This window comes from Homo sapiens, chromosome 19 (assembly GCF_000001405.40).
Source record: "Homo sapiens chromosome 19, GRCh38.p14 Primary Assembly".
In the NCBI taxonomy this organism is placed as follows: Eukaryota; Metazoa; Chordata; class Mammalia; order Primates; family Hominidae; genus Homo; species Homo sapiens.
Window position 1 is genome coordinate 36,570,886 of NC_000019.10, and position 24,635 is coordinate 36,595,520.

A 24,635-nucleotide genomic window follows, 5' to 3' on the forward strand; every position below is an offset into this window, starting at 1 on the left:
GGTTTATGTCCATATTAATGTATCCAGGCCTCATAAAGACCCTAAAGCACTGATATAATTATTGTTTACATTCTACAACAAGAAACTGTAAAGCGGAAAAATGAGTAACTATTAACCCCTTTGAAATGCAGTGTGAACATATAACTGAATTTTAAATTTTTTTCACTTTTCCTAAGCTAATTAACACAGGATTACCTTTAATTTTAATTAACTTACATTTAAATACAAAAGCAATATAAATGTTTTTCTATTAAACACAACTTTATTGTTTTGGTAGGACTATAATTCACCCTAAACACTGAAAATTTAGCATCCAAATTGAGACATGCAATAACAATAAAACATATACCAGATTTTGAAAACTTGGTATAAAGATATGAGTGTAAAGTATTTCAGTGTATTCATATCATTACATGTTGAAATAATATTTTGGATATATTGGTTTAAATAAAATACATTACCAAAATTAACTTCAGCTGTTTCTTTTTCTTTTTAAAATGTGTTTAAAGCCGGGCGCAGTGGCTCACGCCTGTAATCCCAGCACTTTGGGAGGATGAGGTGGGTGGATCACCTGAGGTCAGGAGTTCGATACCAGCCCAGCCAACATGATGAAACCCCTTCTCTACTAAAAATTCAAAAATTAGCCGGGCATGGTGGCGGGCGCCTGTAATCCCAGCTACTTGGGAGGCTGAGGCAGGAGACTCACTTGAACCTGGGAGGCAGAGGTTGCAGTGAACTGAGATCGCACCATTGCGCTCCAGCCTGGGCAATAACAGTGAAACTCTGTCTCAAAAAAAAAAAAAAAAGTGTCTAATGGAAATTTTTAAATTACCTAAGTGGCTTTATATTATATTTGCATTAGACTGTGCTGCTTTAGACTCAGACACCACTGTATCAGGCTGCCTCTCACAATCTACACCAATGTCACACTGCCAAATCTCAAAGAAGATTTGGTTGTCACCACTTAAATCCCCTCATGAATGTTCTGGAAAAACTCCCTGCCCTTGTTGACATAGCCTCTCTGCATAAAACTCCTATCATATTCCCACTCCTAAATGTCTCCAAAGCCAACTTTGTCACTTACTGATTAATACCTACCATCTCCTATCTTGCTTTGTTTGCAAATCAAGTCTGTAAATAAGATCAAAGGTATCTAGTGTGCCATTCTACTTAATCACTCGTCTCCTCCTTAACAAATTACATTCTAAAAAAAAGTTTTAACTTCTCCTCCAGGAGTTGTATTTCTATACCATAAAAATCCTTTGGAAAAAAAGAAGCACATGGGAGAATTGAATGATTTACCTAATGCATATGTGAATATTCAATGAAAGGGAAATGGGCATTTGGAAAGGCAATGGAGGACAAGGGGACCCATCTCTACGGTCCTGTTGTTAATTGGGAAGAGAAAACCAAGGGACCAGGTAAATGAACAAAAAAAAAAACTAACCTTGAGTTGGCCATTAGTACCAATGCTGTCTTCCACTTCAGGGGGCCTTCACTTGCAGAACTACATAACCAAGAGGGAGAAAGGACTCATGACATCCTGGACTGGTTAAATAAGAACACAGTGTTCACCACCAGAAAAGCCCATCACACACAACAAACACACCCAGATCGAAGAGGGAAACTAGAATACTGTCGACTCCTCCCCACATCCGAGAAAAAGGTACGACCAATGCCTAGCAGTTTCTAGGGAACACAGCTCAGGAAATACTGTAGTTCTTTAATGTATAAATGGCCTCCAAACTCATGCAAGGGGAGTTATCCCAGGAATGAATACTACACCTATGCCCTCCCCTTCACGTCTTCCCAGGAAACTTCATTTATCTATCTTATCTATCTATCTATCTATCTATCTATTATCTATCATTTATCTATCTTCTATATATCATCTATGTAATCTATCTATATGCGTGTGTGTGTGTGTATAAGACCTCACGAAGAGATTCCATCACAGACATCACAGAGTCGGAAAAATGACGCTTTACCCAAAACAAACTCCTACAGGCTCACGGAAAAAAACGAACAAACAAACAAACAAAAAAAAACAAAAAAACACTTCTACCCCGTTCACACTTATAGTTGGTCACAACAGTGCTGTCACACGATCACGTCACCGTAGACCAGGGTCACACGATAGACCCCGCCCCTACTCACCGTCCTGAGTCCGATCAAACAGCACCCACGGCACACACTAGGGTCTCCGTCTCTCACACACACACACCACAATGACGTCGTAAACAATAGCACTAACCACCATCGTCCGCAGCTCCCGCGTACAGAGGCCTCAGGCTCCCGGCTCCACGTGGACCGACCTCGCCCGGCAGCGCGGGGCCACCTCACCGCGAGCTCCTCCCGCAGCCCGGCCCGGGTCACCTCGACTCGCCAGGCTTAACTCAATAACCACAACACCGGAAAAGGAAGCAAAGGTCGAAGTTCATCCGCGGCCCTGAGGCCTGTGGGAAACGTAGTCCAACAACGAAAGAGCCCTGAAGCTCAAGCGGAGCCCGCTGGCCGCAGGGGCCGCACCACGCCCCAGACCCTGGAGTTTCCGGGTGCGCAGACCCTTGCCATCAGCAGAGGCTGCCGCTGCGCGTCCCCTAGGCGCGGAAGAGGCGGCTGGTGGTCCCTGACGGCAAGGTGAAGTCGAGGCAGTAATCGGGAACCCAGGTTGGGAGGACAGAATGGGGAACAGGAAGCTGGGGCGAGGGTGGTCTTGGGGGAGGTGGGGGGCCGCGGAATTCTAGGTGGCCCCTGCCTCACCTCTGGAAAGAACCGGAAGCCCGGGCCGGGGAGGGTGAAGGGAGTCGCGGACCCGGCTGCTCAGCCGAGGAGGAAACCCGGACCCCAGGCTGAGGGAGGCCGAAGAAGGAACTGGAGGGCCGGGCTGGGAAGGCCTGAAGCGGGTACAGCCTTTAGGCTGGGGAGGGTCGAGGGGAGAACTCGGAGCCTGAGTCGGGCGAGGTTTTGCTCCACTCTGGCTTCTAAGTGTGGGGGCCTCAGGATGTGACCCGTGGTCGTAAACCTGAGGGTGACTTGGAGTTTTTGTCCGTTTTGCACCATGAGAAAGGCCCCAGATGGAATCTGGCAGGTAGCGGCGGTTCAGTGTGTGTGTGTCTGCCTTAGGGCGTGTTTTACACTGTTGACGAAAAGACTCAGACTCTAAAGTATTTGAAGAGACTTATTCTGAGCTAAATATGAGTGACCAATGGCCGGTGGCCCAGCCCTCAGGAGATCTTGAGAACCTGTGCCCAGGGTGGACGGGATATATGTGGTTTTATACCTTTTAGGGAAACATGAGACACCAATCAAATACATGTAAAATGTACATTGATTCCCTCCGGAAAGGCGGGACAGCTGGAAGGTGGCTGGCCTTCCAGGTCATAGGTAGATTCAAAGATTATTTGATTGGCAATGGGTTGAAAGAGTTATTGACGTAAGACTTAGGAATGTCTCCAGGTAGCACGCTTCACAGAGAATAGATTGTAAATGTTTCTTTTCAGACTTGGGGTCTTTTCTATCAGTAATTCCAAAATGGAGGAGGGTATAATGAAGCATGTCCGACCCGCCCACCCCCGCCTTTCCATCATGGCTTTACTAGTTTTTCAGGTTAGGAATGCCCTGGCCAAGAGGAGGGGTCCATTCAAGATGGTCTGGGTGTGCTTAGGATTTTATTTTTGGTTTACAACACCAGCACCACCGGAGTTTGCTGGTGTCCTTTCCAGTCAGTTTCAAAGCAGAGACAGCCATAGTTCTGATTTGTGTCACTGTAACTGTCAGTTCCGGAATTCCATATTTCTCCTTTAGTTTACCCTAATGTGTGTGAGATTTCATGTGTAGTTCATTTTTCTTTTTCTGAACAGCACTCCATTGTGCAAATATACCACAATTTGTGTAGTCATTTTTCTGTTGTTGAACATTTGGCATATTTACAGGTTTTATACATTACGAATAAAGCTGGCACGTTTCCATTTCTCCTGGGCAAATATTTAGAAGAAAAGTTGCTGGGTAATTGGTAAGTTTACATTTAACTTTCCAAGAAGCTGATAAGCCTTTTAGAATGATTAGTTGTGATTTGTGTGTGTGAGATTGTGTAACTGGAGTAAGTAGTTTCTGAGTTTGCTTTGCTATGTTTGTATGGAATTATAAGATGGGCTCAACAGGGTTGTGAATGTCATGTAGGATCCATAGGATTGTGGCTTTGTGGAGTAGGTAAGATCACAGGAAACTGAATGTGTCTGTGCTAATTGTTATTTATCATGGTTTTGTGTGTACATTCCATGATAACTGAAAATGGATCACTATGTAAGTGATGTTAATGACTGAAGAACTCTGTGTGTCTGGTGTATTTCATTTTGCTTGCAGAATTATGACAGTTTCTAATAACTAAAATATCACAAGCATTGGAAACTAGGAGGTAAAATTATAATTTCTAGATGACAGGGTTGCATTACCTGGAAACATCATACAAACTAAATCCAATATGTTGAAATGAGGACTCCATATGTAGCACAGAAGTAAAATACTTTCATCCCTACCACTTTGAATAGTTATATAGATTTGAGGTCCCCTCCCACCCATCCCCCCGCCTCCTGCTTGCCCCTGGATGAAGTTGAGGGTGATTTAATGCCCTCCTAAATCACTTTAAGCCAAGTAAAAGTACTTGAAATACTAAAAATCACAAAGTCAGCTTTGTAGTAATTAAAATAGTCATTTTCTAATTAAAATATTTACTGTAAAAATCAAATTTCAAACTTCATTTAAAAGAAAAATTTCTTTCAACTGTCTAGAGCCTACAGTGTAATTACTTTCTTCTCTACTTCCCCAACCGGTATTACTAAATAGGTACTATCTCGCATAATGATTAGGATTTAATAGTAAATGCTTATTAGTTAACCAGGCAGGTTTAACCACGTTATTATAGAAACTCTAAGAGGTTTCACATGTGTTTTTTTTTTGTTTTGTTTTGTTTGTTTGTTTTGAGATGGAGTCTCGCTCTGTCACCCAGGTGGGAGTGCAATGGCGTCGTCTTGGCTCCCTGCGACCTCTGCCTCCCGGGTTCAAGCAGTTATCCTGCCTCAACCTCCCAAGTAGCTGGGATTACAGGCACCCGCCACCACACCCGGCTAATTTTTGTATTTTTAGTAGAGATGGGGTTTCACCATGTTGGCCAGGCTGGTCTCCAACTGCTGACCTCTTGATCCACCCACCTCCGCCTCCCAAAGTGCTGGGATTACAGGCGTGAGCCACTGCACCCGGCCTCACGTGACTTCTTTTGCCTCCCTTCTCTCTGTTGTTCACCTTTTGAAAAAAAGAATCCAAAAGAGCAAGGGTCCTTTCCTGCAAATTATAAAAGCTATGGCTGAGAATGAATGTTTCTTCTCTCCTTTCTGAAATATCTTTCCCCCAGGATAACTGAGCATTTGCCTACCATGAAACTTCCATGAGACAGGATTCTCCATTTTCTTTTATTCTAGTCAGATAACGATGTTGCCTTCTCCAAGTTTCCCTTCTAATTGTAACTACTGTTCACTTAATAATTGGATATTTTGGCCGGGCGCGGTGGCTCACGCCTGTAATCCCAACACTTTGGGAGGCTGAGGCAGGTGGATCACGAGGTCAGGAGTTCAAGACCAGCCTGGCCAACATAGTGAAACCCTGTCTCTACTAAAAATACAAAAATTATCCAGGCGTAGTGGCCCGCACCTGTAGTCCCAGCTACTCGGGAGGCTGAGGCAGGAGAATTGCTTGAACCCAGGAAGCGGCGTTTGCAGTGAGCCAAGATCGTGCCATTGTACTCCATCCTGGGCTACAAAGCAAGACTCCGTCTCAAAATAATAATAATAATAATAATAATAATTGGCTATATCACTCAGCACTCCTTTTCACTCCTATAAACAGAAACATATTCCCTTGAATTAAATAAGCATATGTTCCTTTCATAAACCTTTTTTATACAGATAGTGATTTGATGTCTATGTAGTGAGTACTCAGGAGAGCCCATACAAGGGAAAGCCTCATCATGTCCACATATCTCAGTTTACTAGTGAGTGATTCTACTTTTTCTTTTTTCTTTTTTTTTTTTTTTTGAGACAGGGTCTTTGTCACCCAGGCTGGGGGGCAGTGGCACAATCTTGGCTCACTGCAGCCTCGACCTCTTAGGCTCAAGTGACTCTCCCATTTCAGTCTCCTGAGTAGCTGGGACCACAGGCACCCACTACTATACCTGGCTAATTTTTGTATTTTGTATTTTAGGTGGAGACAAGGTTTCGCCACATTGACTGGGCTGGTCTGGAACTCCTGAGCTCAAGCAACCGGCCCTCCTTGACCTCCCAAAGTGCTAGGATTACAGGTGTGAACCACCGTGCCCGGCCCTACTTTCTATCGAAGTAGAATAGGTAGATCACATTATTATTAACAGTATATGGGAAGAGGGAGGTCCTCCCATGTTACATTGTTCTCCCTTCACCTTCTGGGTCATGTTGCACCACTGTTTCCCTTCTAGTCATATCCCAGGGGGCCTTGTCCCATTTATACAGCTCTATTCTAGTGGTCACCAGAGGAATGGGAGTAATCTGATTGAAAGATAAGACAGAAGATTGTACTCTCTTTTTTTTTTTTTTGAGACAGAGTCACCCAGGCTGGAATGCAGTGGCATTGTCATGGCTCACCGCAGTCTCAAACTCCTGGGCCCAAGTGATCCTCCCACTCAGCCTCCTGAGTAGCTGGGACTAGAGGCACATGCAACCACATGCAGCTATTTTTTTTTAAATTTTCTGTAGAGACAGGGTCTCACTGTGTTGCTCAGTTTGTCTCAAACTCCTGGGCTCAAGTGATCCTCCTGCCTTGGCCTCACAAAGTACTAGGATTACAGGCATGAGTCACCACACTCAGCTGAACTCTACTCTTTATGTTCAGGAAAGCACTGGAGAAGAGAGAGGACAAGAGAAACAGGTCCGTAGTGACAGGAGCCTAGGAATAGAGCAGGCCTTCAGTCTTGGTGAAAAAATAAATGGTATTCTAAGCCTTCCTTTGGACATTAATTCAGTACTACCCACTCTTTTTCTCTTGTCCATTCCTCCCTTATATTTTTTTTATAAAATGAAGAACTCAATCCCTTATTTTTTTTTTCTATCCTTCAAGTGAAGGGCAAGAACAAAGAGTGTGGGGGAGATTTTTTTTTTTTTTTTTTTTTTGAGACGGAGTCTTAACTCTGTCACCCAGGCTGGAGTGCAGTGGTGCTATCTCGGCTCACTGCAACCTCCGCCTCCCAGGTTCAAGCGATCCTCCTGCCTCAGCCTCCCAAGTAGCTGGGACTACAGGCCTGCGCCACCGCACGCAGCTAATTTTTTGTATTTTTAGTAGAGACGAGGTTTCAACATGTTGGACAGGATGGTCTTGATCTCTTTTTTTTTTTTTTTTTTTTTTTTTTTTTTTTGAGACGGAGTCTCACTCTGTTGCCCAGGCTGGAGTGCAGTGGCGTGATCTCAGCTCACTGCAAGCTCCGCCTCCCGGGTTCACGCTATTCTCCTGCCTCAGCCTCCCGAGTAGCTGGGACTATAGGTGCCCGCCACGATGCCCGGCTAATTTTTTGTATTTTTAGTAGAGATGGGGTTTCACCGTGTTAGCCAGGATGGTCTCGATCTCCTGACCTTGTGATCCCCCCGCCTCAGCCTCCAAAAGTGCTAGGATTATAGGCATGAGCCACTGCACTCCACTGGGGGAGAATTTTTTTTTTTTTGAGATGAAGTGTTGCTCTGTTGCCCACGCTGGAGTACAGTGGTGCGATCTTGGCTTACTGCAACTTCTGTCTCCCGGGTTCAAGCATTTCTGCTGCCTCAGCCTCCCTGGTAGCTGGGATTATGCCACCACACTTGGCTGATTTTTGTGTTTTTAGTACAGATGGTTTCGCCATTTGACCAGGCTGGTCTCGAACTCCTGACTTCAAGTGATCTGCCAGCCTTGGCCTCCCAAAGTGCTGGGATTACAGGCGTGAGCCACCGCACCCGGCCACATGTAGTATTAAATTGTGTATTTGCGCCTGGAGGCAGTGGCTCATGCCTATAATCCCAGCACTTGGGGAGGCCGAGGCGGGTGGATCACCTGCTGAGGTCAGGAGTTCGAGACCAGCCTGGCCAACATGGTGAAAACCTGTCTCTACTAAAAATTAGCCAGGCATGGTCGTGGGTGCCTGTAATCCCAGCTACTCGGGAGGCTGAGGCAGAGAATTGCTTGAACCCGGTAGGTGGAGGTTGTAGTGAGCCAAGATTGCGCCGTTGCACTCCAGCCTGGGAGACAGAGTGAGACTCCGTCTAAAAAAAAAAAAAATACTACACGTGTGAATTAGAAATTCTAAGCTGAGAAAGCTACTTAAAATTGGTCAAGAAAAAGATACACATTAAGTATAAGAAAGTTGGCATGGCTATAGTAGTATCAGATAATAGGCCTCAAAACAGTGTATATGGCAGGAGATAGGTAACAGTCATAAAAGAGCAGGTCATTAGGAATTTGCATATACATTTGTCACTACAGGGATACATTCTGAGAAATGTGTTATTAGGTGATTGCATCATGCAAGCATCATAGAGCACACTAACACAAACAGCAATGGGGTAGCCTACTACATACCTAAGTTATATGGTATAGCCTATTGCTCCTAGGCTACAAACCTGTATAGCATATTATATAGCATATAGCATACCTGTATTGAATGCTGTAGGCATTTATAACACAGTGGTGTTTGTGTATCTAAACATAGCAAAGGTACAGTAAAAATACTGTATAAAATATTAAAAAATGGCACACCGGTATAAGATACTTGCCATGAATGGAGCTTGTGGGACTGAATTTCTGGGTGCATCAGTGAGTGAGTTGTGAGAGAATGCTAAGGACTAGGACATTACTGTATACTGCTGTAGACTTTACAAGCAGTACACTTAGGCTTCACTAAATTTATTTTTTTAAGTTTTCTTCAATAATAAATTAACCTTAGCTTCCTGTAATATTTTTACATTATAAACTTACTATTTTTTATCTTTCTGAATTGTAGTGACTCTTCACTTAAAACGCAAACACATTATATAGCAACACAAAAATATTTCTGTCCTTATTCTATAGGCTTTTTTCTATTTAAAAATTTTTTTGTTTTAAAAATGTTTGTTACTTTTTAAACTTTCTTGTTAAAAACAAACACACTTTAGCCTGGGCCTACACAGGGTCTAGAGTATCAATATGTCTGTCTTTTACCGCCATATCTTGTCCAACTGGAATGTCGTCTTCAGGATTAAAAATATGCATGGAGCTGTCATCGCCTATGAAAACAATGCCTTCTTCTGGATACCTCCTGAAGGACTTGCCTGAGGCTGTTTTACAGTTACTTTTTTTTTTTAATAAGTAGAAGGAGTACAGTCTAAAATAATAATACAAATAGTACAATAAATTACATAAACTAGTAATGTAATCACTTATTATTATCACCTATTACGTACTATACATAATTGCATGTGCTATACTTTTATACAACTGGAAGCACAGTAGGTTTATTTACAGCAGCGTCACCACAAACACCTGAGTGATATGTTGCATGACAACGTCCACAAGTGATAGGAATTTTTCAGCTCCATTGTAATCTTATGGGACCACCATTGTATATGTGTCCATCATTGAGTAAAATGTTATTACATGACACATGACTGTGTTCATCAGGAATATGTATGCTAGTATGAACCTATAATGAGAGTGTTAAATTTTATGAAGCAAAAACTAACAGAACAAAAGAAATAGATCCACAAGCATAATTGGAAATCCACAATTATATCTCAGTAATTGATAGCACTTGTAGGCAAGAAATTCAGTAGTATATGTAATCAGCTCTTCATATATGCAGATTCAACCAATAGCAATGCACAAATATTCAGAAAAAACACAATGACAGTAAAAAAATACAAATTTTAAAATACAGTATAAAATTATTTACATAGCATTTACATTGTATTAAGTATTATAAAAAATCTAGAGATGGTTTAAAATATACAGAAGGTTGTGCATAGGTTATATGCAACTACTACACCATTTTATATAACAAACTTGGGCATCTGTAGGTTTTGGTATCCACAAGGTGTCCTGGAACCAGTCCCCTGTGGATAGCAAGGGACAACTGTATAGAAGATATGAACCACACCAGTCAACATGACCTAATTGTTGTTTACAGAACACCATACCCACAATTGAAAAATTACATTCTTTTCATGTACCTGAACAGTCCCCATGATAGACTATTGGCTGGACCATAAGTCACAATAAACTTCAAAAGATTGCCACATTACAGGGAATGTGCATTAGAAACCAATAATAAGAAACCTATACAGTCCTTCAATACATGGAAATTAAATAACACACTTCTAGATCTACAGATCATTGAATAAATAAGGGGAAAATGTTTTGAAATATGAAAAAGTGACAACAGCATATCAAAATTGGAAGGATACAGCTAAAGCAGAGTTGAGAGGAATGTTAAGTACTTAAATAAAAAAAGGAGAAATTCATAGCAGCATTATTCACAATAACCAAGAAATACGTACAACCCAGATGTTCATCAGTGGATGAATGGATAAACAAAATGTGGTAATATGATTTGGATATTTGTTCCCTCAAAATCTCACACGGACATGTGACCCCCAGTGTTGGAGGTGGCGCCTAGTGGGAGGTGTTGGATTATGGGGTGGATCTCATGAATGGCTTGGTGTCCTCCACATGGATATGAGTTCATCCTATAGCTAGTTGTTTAAAAGAGCCTGGCACCTCCTCCCTCTCCCTTTTGTTCCCTCTTGCCATGTGATATGCTAGCTCTCCCTTTGCCTTCTGCCATAATTGTAAGCTTCCTGAGGCCTCACCAGAAGCAGATGCTGGCACTATGCTTCTTGTACAGCCTATAGAACCATAAGCTAAATAAACCATTTTTCTTTATAAATTACCCAGCCTCAGGTATTCCTTTATAGCAACACAAAACAGACTAATACATGTGGCATATACATACAATGTAATATTATTCAGCCTTGGAAGGAAATTTTGACATATGCTACAATGTGGCTGAACCTTGAGGATATTCTAATAAGCCAATCACAAAAAGATAACTACTTATGATTCCACTCATATGAAGTATCTAGAGTAGTCCACCTCATAAAATCAGAAAGTATTACTGGTCTCCCACTTTTAGGCTATTAACGCTTGTAGTGAGAGTTTGTAGGTTTCTTGTCGTGGTTGCCAGGGGCTGGGGGCAGGGGGAAAAGGGTAGTTATTATTTCATGGATATAGTTTCACATTTACAGGATGAAAAAGTTGTGGATGTTGGTTGTACAAAAATGGGAATATACTTAATGCTGCTGAGCTGTATACTCAAATAGTTAAGATGGTAAATTTTATGTTACATGTATACTTTGCCACCATTTTTAAAAATGAGGAAAGGCTTAAACAAGAATAATAAACATGCTATATGCTAAACCAAAAGTCAAAAAAAAGAAGTAAAGATGGGCATAAATCGGCTGGGCGCGGTGGCTCACGCCTGTAATCCCAGCACTGTGGGAGGCTGAGACGGGCAGATCACGAGGTCAGGAGATCGAGACCATCCTGACTAACATGGTGAAACCCCATCTCTACTAAAAATGCAAAAAATTAGCCAGGAGTTGTGGCAGGCGCCGCCTGTAGTCCCAGCTACTCGGGAGGCTGAGGCAGGAGAATGGCCTAAATCCGGGAGGAGGAGCTTGCAGTGAGCCGAGATCGCGCCACTGCACTCCAGGCTGGGTGACAGAGCGAGACTCCATCTTAAAAAAAAAAAAAAAAAAAAGATGAGCATAAATCAATTAAGTAGAAATAGAAAGCAGACCATTAAGAAAATGAACAAAACAACAAGTTTATGTGAAGGTATTTTAAAAATGGATAAATCCCTAGTAAGCATAATTAATAAAATAGAAAACACAAATTGCCCATGTCAGGAATAAAAATGAAGATGCCACTACGGATCCTATAGACAGTAAAATGATAAGGCAATATTATGAACAATTTTATGCCAATAAATTTGACATTTTAGATGAAATTCATCCATTCCTTTAAAAGCACAGCTTCTCAAAACTCTTGACTCAAAATGAAATAGAAAAACAGAAAGTCTGTATCTAATTGTTTGTTTGTTTGTTTGTTTGGAGACAGGGTCTTGCTTTGTCAGACTGGAGGCTAGTGGCATGATCATGACTCACTACAGCCTCAACCTACCAGTATCAAGTGATTCTTCTGTCTCAGCCTCCCAAGTAGCTGGGAGTACAGGTGGGCACCACTATGGCCAGCTAATTAAAAAAAAAATTTAGAGACAGGGTCTCACTTTGTTGTGCAGGCTGGTCTTGAACTCCTGGGCTCAAGAAATCCTCCCACCTTGGCCTCCCAAAGTGCTGAGATTTCAGGCATGTGCCATGACACCTGGCCTAAAATTTTAAGTTTTAATAAATAAAAATCCATACATACAGAACCAGGTTCAGCTCCACTGAAACCCCTGCAACTCAGCCAAAAGTAAATGTAACATGGTTTTGAATGCTGTCTTAATCCAGGGCACATGAAAAACCCTTAAAAACAAAAACAAAAACAAAGCATACCTCTGCCCCACCGAGATGAGCTCAAAAACAAACATTACAAACAACGAGGAAATAACCATCACAGGAGGGTCAGCAGAGTAAATAAATAATAAAGTTGGCACCTACAAGAACTGCATATAATATGACAATATGAAAGAATATGAAATGTTTTAAATGGAAAAAAACTCATAATGAAAGCATAATACTTAAAAAGAATCAGTAGATTTAAAAAATAACCAGAGAAAATTTCTAGAAATAAAAAAGATCTTAAGTATAGAGAACATAACAAGCACAGCTCAAAATTAATGAACTTAAAGATATATCTGAAGAGATTACCTATAATGCAGCACAGAGATAAAAAGTGAAATACAGATGAGAAACTGAGACATGGAAGAAAATAAAAGGGCCCAAGACACATCTAATAAATGTCATAAAAGGAGAAAAAGGAGGAGAAGCATCAGAAGAAAAAGTGGTTTACAACTTTTCAAAATTAAACTCAATTTTAAGATGAGGAATCAAAATGAGTGTCAAGTAGGATAATGAAAGTGGATCTAACACCTAGACACATCACAGTGATAATGCAAAACAGAAATCTTGAAAAGAAGGAAGGGAGGGAAGGAAAGAAAAGAAAAACAGAAAAGACATGCTACCTAAAAGGAAAGATGATTGGGCACAAGATGTCAGAAGACAGGAGAATAATACCTTCAAACTGATAGAGGAAAAGTAGCAATTAAGAGTGGGGCAAAATAAAGACATTTTCAGACAAAGATAAGGTTTTTTTCATAGACTCACTGGAAGAATTTCTAAAGGATGTGAATCAGCAAAAAGAAAAACCCAGAAAGACAGAATGAGATAAAATTTTAAATGATGAGCAAGGAAATTGGTAAATATGTTGGGGATTCTGTTTACTAAGTAATGATGATTACTTTTTACGGAATTTCAAAACAAATTAGATCAAAAGCACCAGACAAAAATAGAAAGAGGCCGGATGCGGTAGTTCACACCTGTAATCCCAGCACTTTGGGAGGCCAAGATGGGCAGATCACTTGAGGTCAGGAGTTGGAGACCAGCCTGGCCAACATGCTGAAACCCCATTTTCACTAAAAATACAAAAATCAGCTGGGTGTGGTGGCGCTCACCTGTGATCCCAACTACTCAGGAGGCTAAGGCAAGATAATCGCTTGAACCCAGGAGGTGGTGGTTGCAGTGAACCGAGATTGCCCCACTGCACTCCACCCTGGGTAACAGAGGGAGACTCTGTCTCAAAAAAAAAAAAAAAGAAAGAATGTACCTACAGCATTCTAAGGTCTTTTTTATTGCTCAAGAAGGAGATACCAATTAGTCATTAAGTCAAAGATGCAAGGTTAAGAGTAACTTCCGATAGTAAAGCAATACAATATCTTATTTTTAATCCAGTGCAGGGGAAAGTAGAATAAGGAGCACTTAATTGATCTCATAGAAGTCAATAAAACATAAAAGAAGCAGCAAGTATAAGCCTGATTAAACAGAAAGTGGGGAAAGAGATGGGTCATTGAGCTAAGGGGAGGCCTGGTGACAGCTCTTGGAAGATGAAGTCTGACCAGAATAGCACATAAGTCAATCAGGTTGCTGTGGCCAAAGTGCATCGTCCTTGCCTCTCTGAGTTTGTAGTGGGGAGAAACAACAAACCCAACACTAAACATGGAGGAAAGAATTAAAGACTCAGGCCTATCAGTTTCCACTCCCTGCCCTCCCGTTACTACCAGTTTAAAGGCTTACAGGGGCTCATGGATGAGTGGGAAGTTTTTGTGACGTTTGATAGAGAAATGAGCTGCCTCTTGACCAGCAGAGAGCCCCAGGTTCATCCTCATGTGGAGTAACAGGGCTGCAGAGCAGTCAGTGTTCCAGAGCCCTGTGCTCACAGATCTAGCTACAATCCCCACCTGCACTGTTTTTAGTTGTGTATATCCCTTAATGTTACTGAACCTCATTCTCTTCTGATGTAAAATGAAGACAGGCATTTCTGCTCAACCCATTTCATCTGTAAATGGAGGGAATAAGTCTTTATGAAATGAGACAAAGTATATTCAGTGTCTGCAGTGCAGTTAATAAATTAGTGTCTTTCTACCTGTTTCTCACAAAACTGAAATAAAAGCTGGAAAATTGCTTTGTAAACCATAAGGCACTCTGCATACAAAAGAGATTACTATGAATTTTTCCTAAGTGATTAACTCATGACTCCTTTCCATACTCCTCAGCAGTGGCAACATTGGGAGGCTGGATTTTGGTGGGATGGAAGATAATGAGGGGACTCTGGTTTCTGGCCAGCTCCAGGACTGGATGTGATGGTTAACGATACTTAACATCACCACACAGCTCATTCCCTAGCTGGCTCAGTAACTATGGATCTCTAAGCAATGTCTTAACATTTACGCTTACATCTGCTAAGCTAAGTATGTACTGTTCCTTGATTTACATGCCACATTGATTTTTTAAGGGGTTTCAACTGTGGATCATGAGGCAGAAGAGGTGACAATGAAAGGTCAGGCAAAGACAGGAGTGTCCAGTGTGGAACACGAAATCCCATCCTGACTATAAAACATTATATGCTGTTTATTACATTTTAACTTCAGAAATTATCGACTCCATTTTCCATTTCCTTGCAATATGTATTGAGCTTTTCAGTCCTGTTTTGTCATCATGCAAACAAGTAAAATTCTTCAGGATGCAGACCCACCTAATAGTACTAAAAAGGAATCTTTAAAAAATATGGAGATGTCTTCTCCCTATGGAGCTACAGGGGAAAAGACACCACTCTGTGTCATAAAATCTATTTAAATGGTTGCCGGGCGCGGTGGCTCACCCTTGTAATCCCAGCACTTTGGGAGGCCGAGGCAGGTGGATCATGAGGTCAGGAGTTCAAGACCAGCCTGACCAATATGATGAAACCCCGTCTCTACTAAAAACACAAAAATTAGCCGGGCGTGGTGGTGTGCATCTCTAATCCCAGCTACTCGGGAGGCTGAGGCGGGAGAATTGCTTGGAGCCAGGAGATGGAGGCTGCAGTAAGCTGAGATCATGCCATTGCACTCCAGCCTGGGCAACAGAGCGAAAGCGAGACTCCGTCTCAAAAAAAGAAAAAAAAAAAGCTATTTAAAAGAACCTGATATGATAAAGTATTGAATTGAGAACACTCAGTGAATATCAGCATTACTCTCCTGTTCAGTAGAGAGATAACTCTGATCATCCTCAGCTATTTTCCTGTCTATAATTTGCTTATTTGTATTATTTGTGCAAAGAAGTCTTTAACACCTCATATTTCAATAGTAATCCTAAATCCTGTTGTTTATGTCATAATTCGCTGCCCTGATAATGCTTAAACTCATCTCTGTTTTTCTAAAAGACATAAATATGTATAAGGTTTCTATATTAAGAAAAAAGACGAGTATGCTGTTTCTGTTTACTTCTATCAGCATAAAGGTATAATAAAATCCCATGAGTGGCTGGGCGTGGTGGCTCACGCCGGTAATCCCAACACTTTGGGAGGCTGAGGCAGGTGGATCACTTAAGGTCAGGAGTTGGAGACCAGCCTGGCCAACATGGTGAAACCCCATCTCTACTAAAAATACAAAAATTAGCCAGGCGTGGTGGCGAGCACCTGTAATCCCAGCTACTCAGTAGGCTGAGGCAGGAGAATCGCTTGAACCCATGAGGCGGAGGTTGTAGTGAGCCAAGATCATGCCACTGTACTCGAGCCTGGGTGTCAGAGCAAGACTCCGTCTCAGGAAAAAAAAAAAAAAAATCCCATTAGGGAAATGCACAACAAAACAATAATGAGATACTATGAATACACCTACTACGATGGCTATAATTTATTTTAAAGTGTTGGGAAGGATGTTGAGAAATAAAAACTCTTTTACCCTGCTAGTGGGAATGTAAAATGGTCCAGTTGCTGTGAAAATCAATCTGGCAGTTCCTGAAATGGTTAAACATAATGTTAGCGTATAATCTCCAGTTCTGCTCCTCAGATCTACCTGACAGAAATGAAAACATTTCCACACTAAAACAGGCACATAAATCTTCACAGAAGCATTATTCACAGTAGCCAAAAAATGGAAACAACCTAAACATCCGTCAGCTGATGAATGGGTAAGCAAGATGTCATATCCTTACCACACTTTAGAATATTATTCAGTCATAAAAAGAAAGTAATAATGATACACGTTACAGGGACGAACCTTCAAAACATTATGGTAAGTTAAGCTAGTCATGAAGGATTTACATACTGCATGACTCCATTTATATGAAATGTCCAGAACAGGAAAATCTCTCAAGAAAAAGCACATTAACGGTTGCCTAGGGCTGGAGGGCATGGGGGTTTGAAAGTGACAGCTAAGGGGAGCTGGATTTCTTTCGGAGATACATACGATCTAAAATTGTGGTGATGCTTGAGCCCAGGAGTTTGAGACCAGACTCGCCAACATGGTGAAACCCTTTCTTTACTAAAAATACAAAAATTAGCTGTGTGTGGTGGCATGTGCCTGTAATCCCAGCTATTTGGGAGGCTGAGGCAGGAGACTCGCTTGAACCCGGGAGGAGGAAGTTGCAGTGAGCCGAGATCATGCCACTGCAGTCCAGCCTGGGTGAAAGAGCAAGACTCTCTCAAAATAAAATAAAATTGTGGTGAAGAATGTATAACTCTGTGAATATACAAAAATCCATTGAATTGTACACTTTAAATGGGTGAATTGTATATGAATTATGGCTCAATAAAGTGGTTTTAATGTGTCTCATGCCTTAAGGGATTACTAGTTTAGTATATGGTCTCCAGTAGTGGTTTAATGAAATTCCGTGGGAGATCTCTTGAGCTTTATTCAGAGCGTTGTTTTACCCTCCTAGTGTCCACTCCCTGCTGTCTTTGCATAGGAGAACCACAGTCCTGTATTCAGAGGTAAAAGTGGATAAGTATCTCATGATTTGAGGATAGATAGGTGTGATGGAAAGAGAGTTGTCATTCACTTGGTCTGCCCTGTTCCCTAAGTGTATGTTTGCACCCCACACCTCTGTCATCCTTGTTCTGAAATGAGTGCTATTCTACCTCAGGAACATACTGATGACCCCCAGCACTGTGAAAATCAGAACAGTGAATGGCAAGATTCAAAGGGGCCATGACAAATATTAGGGAAATGGAAAAGTAGAATGAGATCCATCCATTGTGGATCAAACCTAACAGACAATGGCAGCAAGAAGTGGGGAGAGAAGAGAAACTTTCTCTGAAGTCTTGCCTATTCTGTGCCTCCAACAATATGCCCCTTCCCCATAACTTGCCCAACGAATCTCTTCAACTGTATCCTTTGTAATATCCTTTATAATAAACCAGCAAACATAAGTGTTTCCCTGAGTTCTGTGAGCACTTCAGCAAATTAATTGAACCCAAAGAGGGGGTTGTGAGAACCCCATCTTTTTTTTTTTTTTTTTTAAGACAGGATCACGCTCTGTCACCCAGGCTGGAGTGCAATGGCACAGATCACTGCTCACTGTAACCTTGAATTCATGGGCTCAAGTGAGCCTTTCACCTCAGCCTCCCAAGTAGCTAGGACTACACAGGCTTGTACCTCCAGGCACAGCTAATTTTACTTTTTATTTTCTTGAGACAGGTCTCACTCTGTTGCCCAGGCTGGTCTTGAACTCTTGGCCTCAAGTGATCCTCCAGCCATGAGCCACTGTAAATGTCTGGGAATGCCAACTTGAAGCCCAGCTGGTCAGAAGTTCTAGAGGCCCAGACTTGCAACTGGTGTCTGAAGGGATGGCAGTCTTGGGGACTGAGCCCTCAACCTGAGGGATCTGATGCTATTTCCAGGCAGATAGTGTCAGAATTAAATTGGAGGATACGCAGTTAGTGTCTGCTGCAGAACTGATTGCTTGCTTGCTGGTAGGGGGAAATCCCCACATATCTGGGGGTCATTGAAGTCTTTGGTGTTGACTCTTACTGTGTTTGTTGTTTTCATGTGAGAGCAGAGGAAAAGCAAGGAAATGTTTTCCTCTGGTCAGTTTTCCAGACCAGTCTTTACAGAAACACACACAGAGCTTCAAACAACACTACACTTACACAGCCCTAAAAGTTAGTAAGTACCTCTTTCAGTTCTGCACTCCAAGCACTTCAATGATTTCAGCCTTACTGTAGTCCTGGTGTTGATTTTTAACATCCATCTCTCAGCAACTGGCAAAAAAAAAAAGACAAAAAATATCAGTGAAGATATATGGATTATCAACCAACTTGATAAAATTAATATTTTGCACAATAATGCACCTAACAACTGTAAAATACATGTCCTTTTCAAGTGCACATGTTATATTCAAGACAGACCACATACTAGGCCATAAAAAAAGCATCCGTGAATTTCAAAGGATCAAAATCGTACACAATGTATTCTTTGGTCAAATGAAATTAGGAATCATTGACAATGAAGTACCTAGAAAACCCACAAATGTTTGGAAATTAAACACACTTCTATATAATCCATAGGTTAAAGAAGAAATCAAAGGGAAAACGAAAATAGTTTGAACTAACTGATAATGAAAATGCACCATATAAAAATTTGTGGGGCCAGGCATGGGGGCTCATATGTATAATCCCAGCACTTTCGGAGGCCAAGGCGGGTGGATCGCTTGAGCTCAGGAGTTTCAGACCAGCCTAGGCAACAGGGTGAAACCTCATATCTACAAAATACAAAAATTAACAGGATGTGGTGGTGTGCAATTGCATGGCTGTGGTCCCAGCTATGTGGGAGGCTGAGGCAGAAGGATCGCTTGAGCCCGGGAAGTCGAGGTTGCAGTGAGCCATGATCACACCACTACACTCCAGCCCAGGTGGCAGAGTGAGACTTTACCTCAAAAATAAATAAGTAAATACATAAATAAATAAAAAGAAAATTTGTGGAATGGAGTTAAAGTAGGGATTCTGTATTTAAATGCTTATATTAGAAGAGAAGGCCTAGAATCAATAACTACAGGTTCTACTTTAAAAGGCTAGAAAAGGAAAAGCAGAGTAAACCCTCGGTACCCAGAAGAAAGGAAATAAGATGAGAGAAAAAAATAAATGAAATATATAATTAGCCAAACTAAAAGTGAATTCTCTGAAAAATCAACAAAATTGATAAAACCTTGGGTGGGCATGACGGCTCATGCCTGTAATCCCAGTACTTTGGGAGGCCGAGGCGGGCAGATCACCTAAAGTCAGGAGTTTGGAACCAGCCTGGCCAACATGGTGAAACCCCATCTCTACTAAAAATACAAAAATTAGCCAGGCATGGTGGCATGCGCCTGTAGTCCCAGCTACTCTGGAGGCTGAGGGAGGAGAATCACCTGAACCTGGGAGGTGGAGGTTGCAGTGAGCTGAGATAGTGCCACTGCACTCTAGACTTGGCAACAGAGCAAGACTCCGTCTCAAAAAAAAAAAAAAAAGAGTTGATAAAAACCTTAGCTAGAATTATCAATTTAAAAACTGCAAAGACAAATTACATGAAAGAACTTATCACTAAGGAGCATTTTAGATATTAGAAGTCTAACAGAATTATTGCGAGGCCAAGGTGGGCAGGTCATGAGGTCAAGAGATCGAGACCATCCTCCCAACATGGTGAAACCCCATCTCTACTAAAAATACAAAAATTAGTTGGGCATGGTGGTGTGCGCCTGTAGTCCCAGCTACTCGGGAGGCTGAGGCAGGAGAATCGCTGGAACCCAGGAGGCAGAGGTTGCAGTGAGCCAAGATTGCACCACTGTACTCCAGCCTGGTGACAGAGTGAGACTCCGTCTCAAAAAAAAAAAAAAAAGAAAATAATTATTATAGACAAGTCAACAAATTTGAGAATTCAGATGAAATGGACAAAATTTCTAAAAAAAAATATATAACTTACTGAAACACACAAGATGAAACAGATACATTAAGGAAATTGAGGCCAGACGCAGTGGCTCACACCTGTAATCCCAGCACTTTGGGAGGCCGAGGCGGGCGGATCACAAGGTCAGGAGATCGAGACCATCCTGGCTAACATGGTGAAACCCCGTCTCTACTAAGAAATACAAAAAAATCAGCCGGGCGTGGTGGTGGGCGCCTGCCTGTAGTCCCAGCTACTCAGGAGGCTGAGGCTGGATAATGGTGTGAACCCGGGAGGCGGAGCTTGCAGTGACCCAAGATTGTGCCACTGCACTCCAGCCTGGGCGACAGAGCGAAACTCCATCTCAAAAAAAAAAAAGGAAATTTAATTTATTACATCAAAAAAAGAAATCTCCAGGCCTAGATGGTTTTGCCAGATAATTCAACCAGAAATTTAAGGAACAAATAATACCAATCTTACACACACTTTTCCAGAAAATAGGGAAGGAGAGGACAGTTCATTTTTTGAGGCCAGTACTACCCTAATACCAAAACCTGATAAAGATATTACAAGGAAAGAAATGACAGACCAAAAACCTCATGCAAAAATTCTTAAGAAAATGGTAGCAAATTTGGCTGGGCATAGCAGCTCGTGCCTATAATCCCAGCACTTTGGGAGGCCATAGCGGGTGGATCACTTGAGGTCGGGAGTTGGGAGACCAGACTGGCCAACATGGTGAAACCCTGTCTCTACTAAAAATACAGAAAAAAAAAAAAATTAGCCAGGCATGGCAGTGCATGCTTGTACTCCCAGTTACTTGGGAGGCTGAGGTGGGAGGATCACTTGAACCCGGGAGGCGGAGGTTGCAGTAAGCCGAGATCATGCCACTGCACTGCAGCCTGGGCAACAGAGCAAGACTTTGTCTCAAAAAAAAAAAAAAAAAAAAAAAGAAAGGCCTGGTACAGTGGCTCACACCTGTAATCCTAGCACTTTGAGAGGCCAAGGCGGGCGGACTGCCTGAGCTCCGGAGTTCAAGACCACCCTGGGCAACATGGTCAAACTCCGTCTCCACTAAAATACAAAAAACTAGCTGGGCATGGTGACACGTGCCTGTAGTCACAGATACTCGGGAAGCTGAAGCAAGAGAATCGCTTGAACCTGGGAGATGGAAGTTGCAGTGAGCCGAGATCACGCCGCTGCAATCCAGCCTGGGCAACAAAGCAAGACTCTGTCTCCAAAAAAAAAAAAAGAAAGAAAGAAAAAAGAAAATGGTAGCAAATTTAATCTAGAAATATGTAAAAAGGTTACAAAATGAACCACTAATACAAGATTTAACAAAAAAGAAAAAGAGAAATAGAAAATGCTGAGCTAGAAGCAGTTGGGTTGGCTGGGAGGCAGGATTCCATGTAGGCCAATGACATTTTGAAATGGCATTGTTTTCTGCTTAACAGTTTTAAAAATCAATTTTATTCATATTAGTTGAATAAAGGAGAAAAAAATATGATCACTTTAGTATATAAAAAATTATCGGACAAAATACAATATCCCTTCATGATGAAAACTCTCAGCAAGCTAGAAGTAGATGAGAACTTGTTCAATTTGATAGTCTATGAAAACTTCCAGCTATAATATAGTGATGAAATATTAAATACAATCCTCCTATGATAAAAAAGGCAACAATGCCTATCTATGACTACTAATGCAAGTCCTAGCGATTACAATAAGGCAACAAAATAAATGAAACCTATAAATACTGGCAAAGAAGAAAACTTCCTCTGTAGATGACTCAAGTATTTACTTAAAAATCCTAAAGAGTAGATTCTTTTTTCTTTTTATAGATAGGGTCTCAGTCTGTCACCCAGGCTGGAGTTCAGTGGCGTGATCACCGCTCACTGCACCCTCGACCTCCCCAGCTCAGGTGATTCTCCCACCTCAGCCTCCAGAGTATCGGGGACTACAGGCATGCGCCACCTCACCTGGCTAATTTTTTATAGAGATGGAGTTTCCACCATGTTGCCCAGGCTACTCTTGAACTCCAGGGCTCAAGCGATCTGCCTGCCTTGGCCTCCCAAAGTGCTGGGATTACAGGCATGAGCCACTGTGCCTGGATAGGTCCCAATCTATAATCGAATGAAATCAGCTTCTTTTAATCATCCGTCCACCATCTTTTGGATGGTCCAATACCTCTTCAAGAGCTTTCATTTTACTGTTCCGAAAAAAAAGGGCTGAACCGATAGTGGATGCTAAATATTAATGGGAAAATAGAGGGATCCATTAGGAGAATCTTGGGCTGTTTGGCATCATCACTCACTGGAACTGGGGACAACTTCTTAGATCTCTGTTACATAGGACATTTCAAGATAAGATAATGTTTACATGATCTAAAATATGACTGTGTTTAAGAAGTAGAGACAAACAGTTCACCAAAACCATGGCTAAAAATGGTTAAGAACTTGTCAGTCTTCCTCAGGGGTCCTCTCTTTGCAGAAGCACTGAGACCACAGAGGCAAGAGCTGGGGAAGGAAAACTGCCCATGAGATGAGATGTGCCTCTCAGCTTCCAAAATCGGGGAGGTAAGAGGGATTCTGGACAAAATGAAACCCTGCACCCACAAGGAGTCCAGCAGACAGATGTAGACACCAAGCAGACATCCTCATAATCTAAAAGTAGGGTCCAGACAGCAAGTTTCTGGCCCATCCCACACTCTGCTAATGCTGACCTGGACCTAAAATTAAGCCACTCAACCCTATCTTGAGATAACAGAGGGAGAAAATGCTCCCTCCATTTTACTTTCTAGGGTTGCAAAGGGATGACACCATCCACACCAGAACTGCATGAATGGCATCAGGAATGATCAGAGACCATAAATTCCAGTGAGACCAATAACACCATTTCTGGTCCTGCATGCTCTTCCAAACTTTGCCACTAACCCCTTCAAGAGGTACAGTCTATTTCCCTTTCTCTTGAAATTGGGTAGGCCTTTGGGACTCCCTTGATAAACAGAATACAACAGAAATGACACTGTGTATCTAACAAGGCTAGGTTAGAAAAGGCAACAGAACTTCATCCTAATCTCTCTCAAGATGCCCCCCATGGAATCCAGCCATCATGCTGTGAGGAATCCAAGCAGCTACATAGAAAGGCCACAACTAGATATTCCAGCTGTAGTCAGCTGAAGCTCCAGCCAACAGCCAACATCAACCACCACACGTGAAAACGAGCAAGCCTTCAGATGATTCCGACTCCCAACCTCCAAGCCACCTCAGCTGAAGCCAAGTAGAGCAGAGACTAGCTGTCCCCCAATGCTCTAATATGCAGATTCATAATTAAAAAGAATGTTATTGTTCTAAGCCATGAAGTTTTGGGGTGGTTTGTCATGCAGCAACTGGAACTGCCTGATCACACCACACACACAAAAGCAGAAAACAATGCCATTTCAAAATGGCATTGGGCCACATGGAATCCTGCCTCCCAGCCAACCCAACTGCTTCTAGCTCAGCACTTCCTATTTCTTTTTTCTTTTTTCTTTTTTTTTTTTGAGATGGAGTCTTGCTCTGTCACCCGGGCTGGAGTGCAGTGGCACAATATCGGCTCACTGCAACCTCCGCCTCCTGGGTTCAAGTGATTCTCCCGCCTCAGCCTCCTGAGTAGCTGGGATTACAGGCATGCACCACCATGCCTGGCTGATTTTTGTATTTTTAATAGAGACGGGGTTTCACCCTGTTGGTCAGGATGGTCTCGAACTCCTGATTTTGTGATCCACGCGCCTTGGCCTGCCAAAGTGCTGGGATTACAGGCGTGAGCCACCATGCCCGGCCTCCTATTTCTCAATCACAATCACTACACAACTTCCTTCAGTAGCATTGGTCACTACCTCTTTTCTCAGTATCCAAGTTGAAGAAGAGTGAATTTATGACCTCTGCAGCTTGACAATATTTACAAAGAACTCTCTTGAGAAGTGCTTTATAAACCTTGTCATTTAATCCTCATGCAGCTCTATAATTTAATATATTATTTCCATTCAACAGAGCAAGACACAAAAGGTAAAGAAAGCAAGTAAGCCAGGTGCAGTGACTCATGCCTGTAACCCCAGCACTTTGGGAGGCCAAGGTGGGAGGACTGAGGCCAAGAGTTCGCGATCAGCCTAGACAACATAGCAAGA

General features: G+C 42.0%; 1 protein-coding gene and 1 long non-coding RNA gene across 22 annotated transcripts in view, besides 1 other annotated feature; one reads left to right on the top strand and one right to left on the bottom strand.

The window, feature by feature from the left end:
• ZNF529 (zinc finger protein 529) overlaps window positions 1–24,635 on the bottom strand; it is a 61,931-nt gene that overhangs the window by 27,273 nt on the left and 10,023 nt on the right. For 3 of the 10 annotated variants that reach the window (NM_020951.5, NM_001321351.2, NM_001352272.2), the window contains exons 1-2: window positions 2,255–2,407; window positions 1,448–1,507 (exon numbers count right to left, since the gene is read on the bottom strand). In NM_020951.5, coding sequence (NP_066002.3) covers window positions 1,448–1,461 — 14 coding nt within the window. In that variant the 5' untranslated portion in view covers window positions 1,462–1,507; window positions 2,255–2,407. Of the gene's footprint in view, window positions 1–1,447; window positions 1,508–2,157; window positions 2,408–9,365; window positions 11,820–18,729; window positions 18,817–24,635 lie in introns of those variants that run through there. The other 7 variants (XM_011527164.4, NM_001145649.2, XM_011527165.4 and 4 more) reach the window with 5 other exon arrangements.
• ZNF529-AS1 (ZNF529 antisense RNA 1) lies at window positions 2,185–23,823 on the top strand. Of its 12 annotated transcripts, NR_173347.1 has the most exons (6): window positions 2,464–2,640; window positions 3,936–4,015; window positions 6,256–6,352; window positions 22,961–23,046; window positions 23,271–23,414; window positions 23,511–23,823. It is a non-coding gene; the product is annotated as a ZNF529 antisense RNA 1 (long non-coding RNA). The 12 variants fall into 12 exon arrangements; NR_173348.1 differs by lacking the exon at window positions 23,271–23,414 and having other exon boundaries at window positions 2,464–2,670; window positions 23,557–23,823; NR_110705.2 differs by lacking the exon at window positions 6,256–6,352 and having other exon boundaries at window positions 23,557–23,823.
• Window positions 2,464–2,553: an enhancer, noted in NCBI's record as "active region_14527". NCBI's record gives its function as "activates an Ori minimal core promoter by ATAC-STARR-seq in GM12878 lymphoblastoid cells {active_cell/tissue: GM12878}" and the evidence as "EXISTENCE:reporter gene assay evidence [ECO:0000049][PMID:35858748]".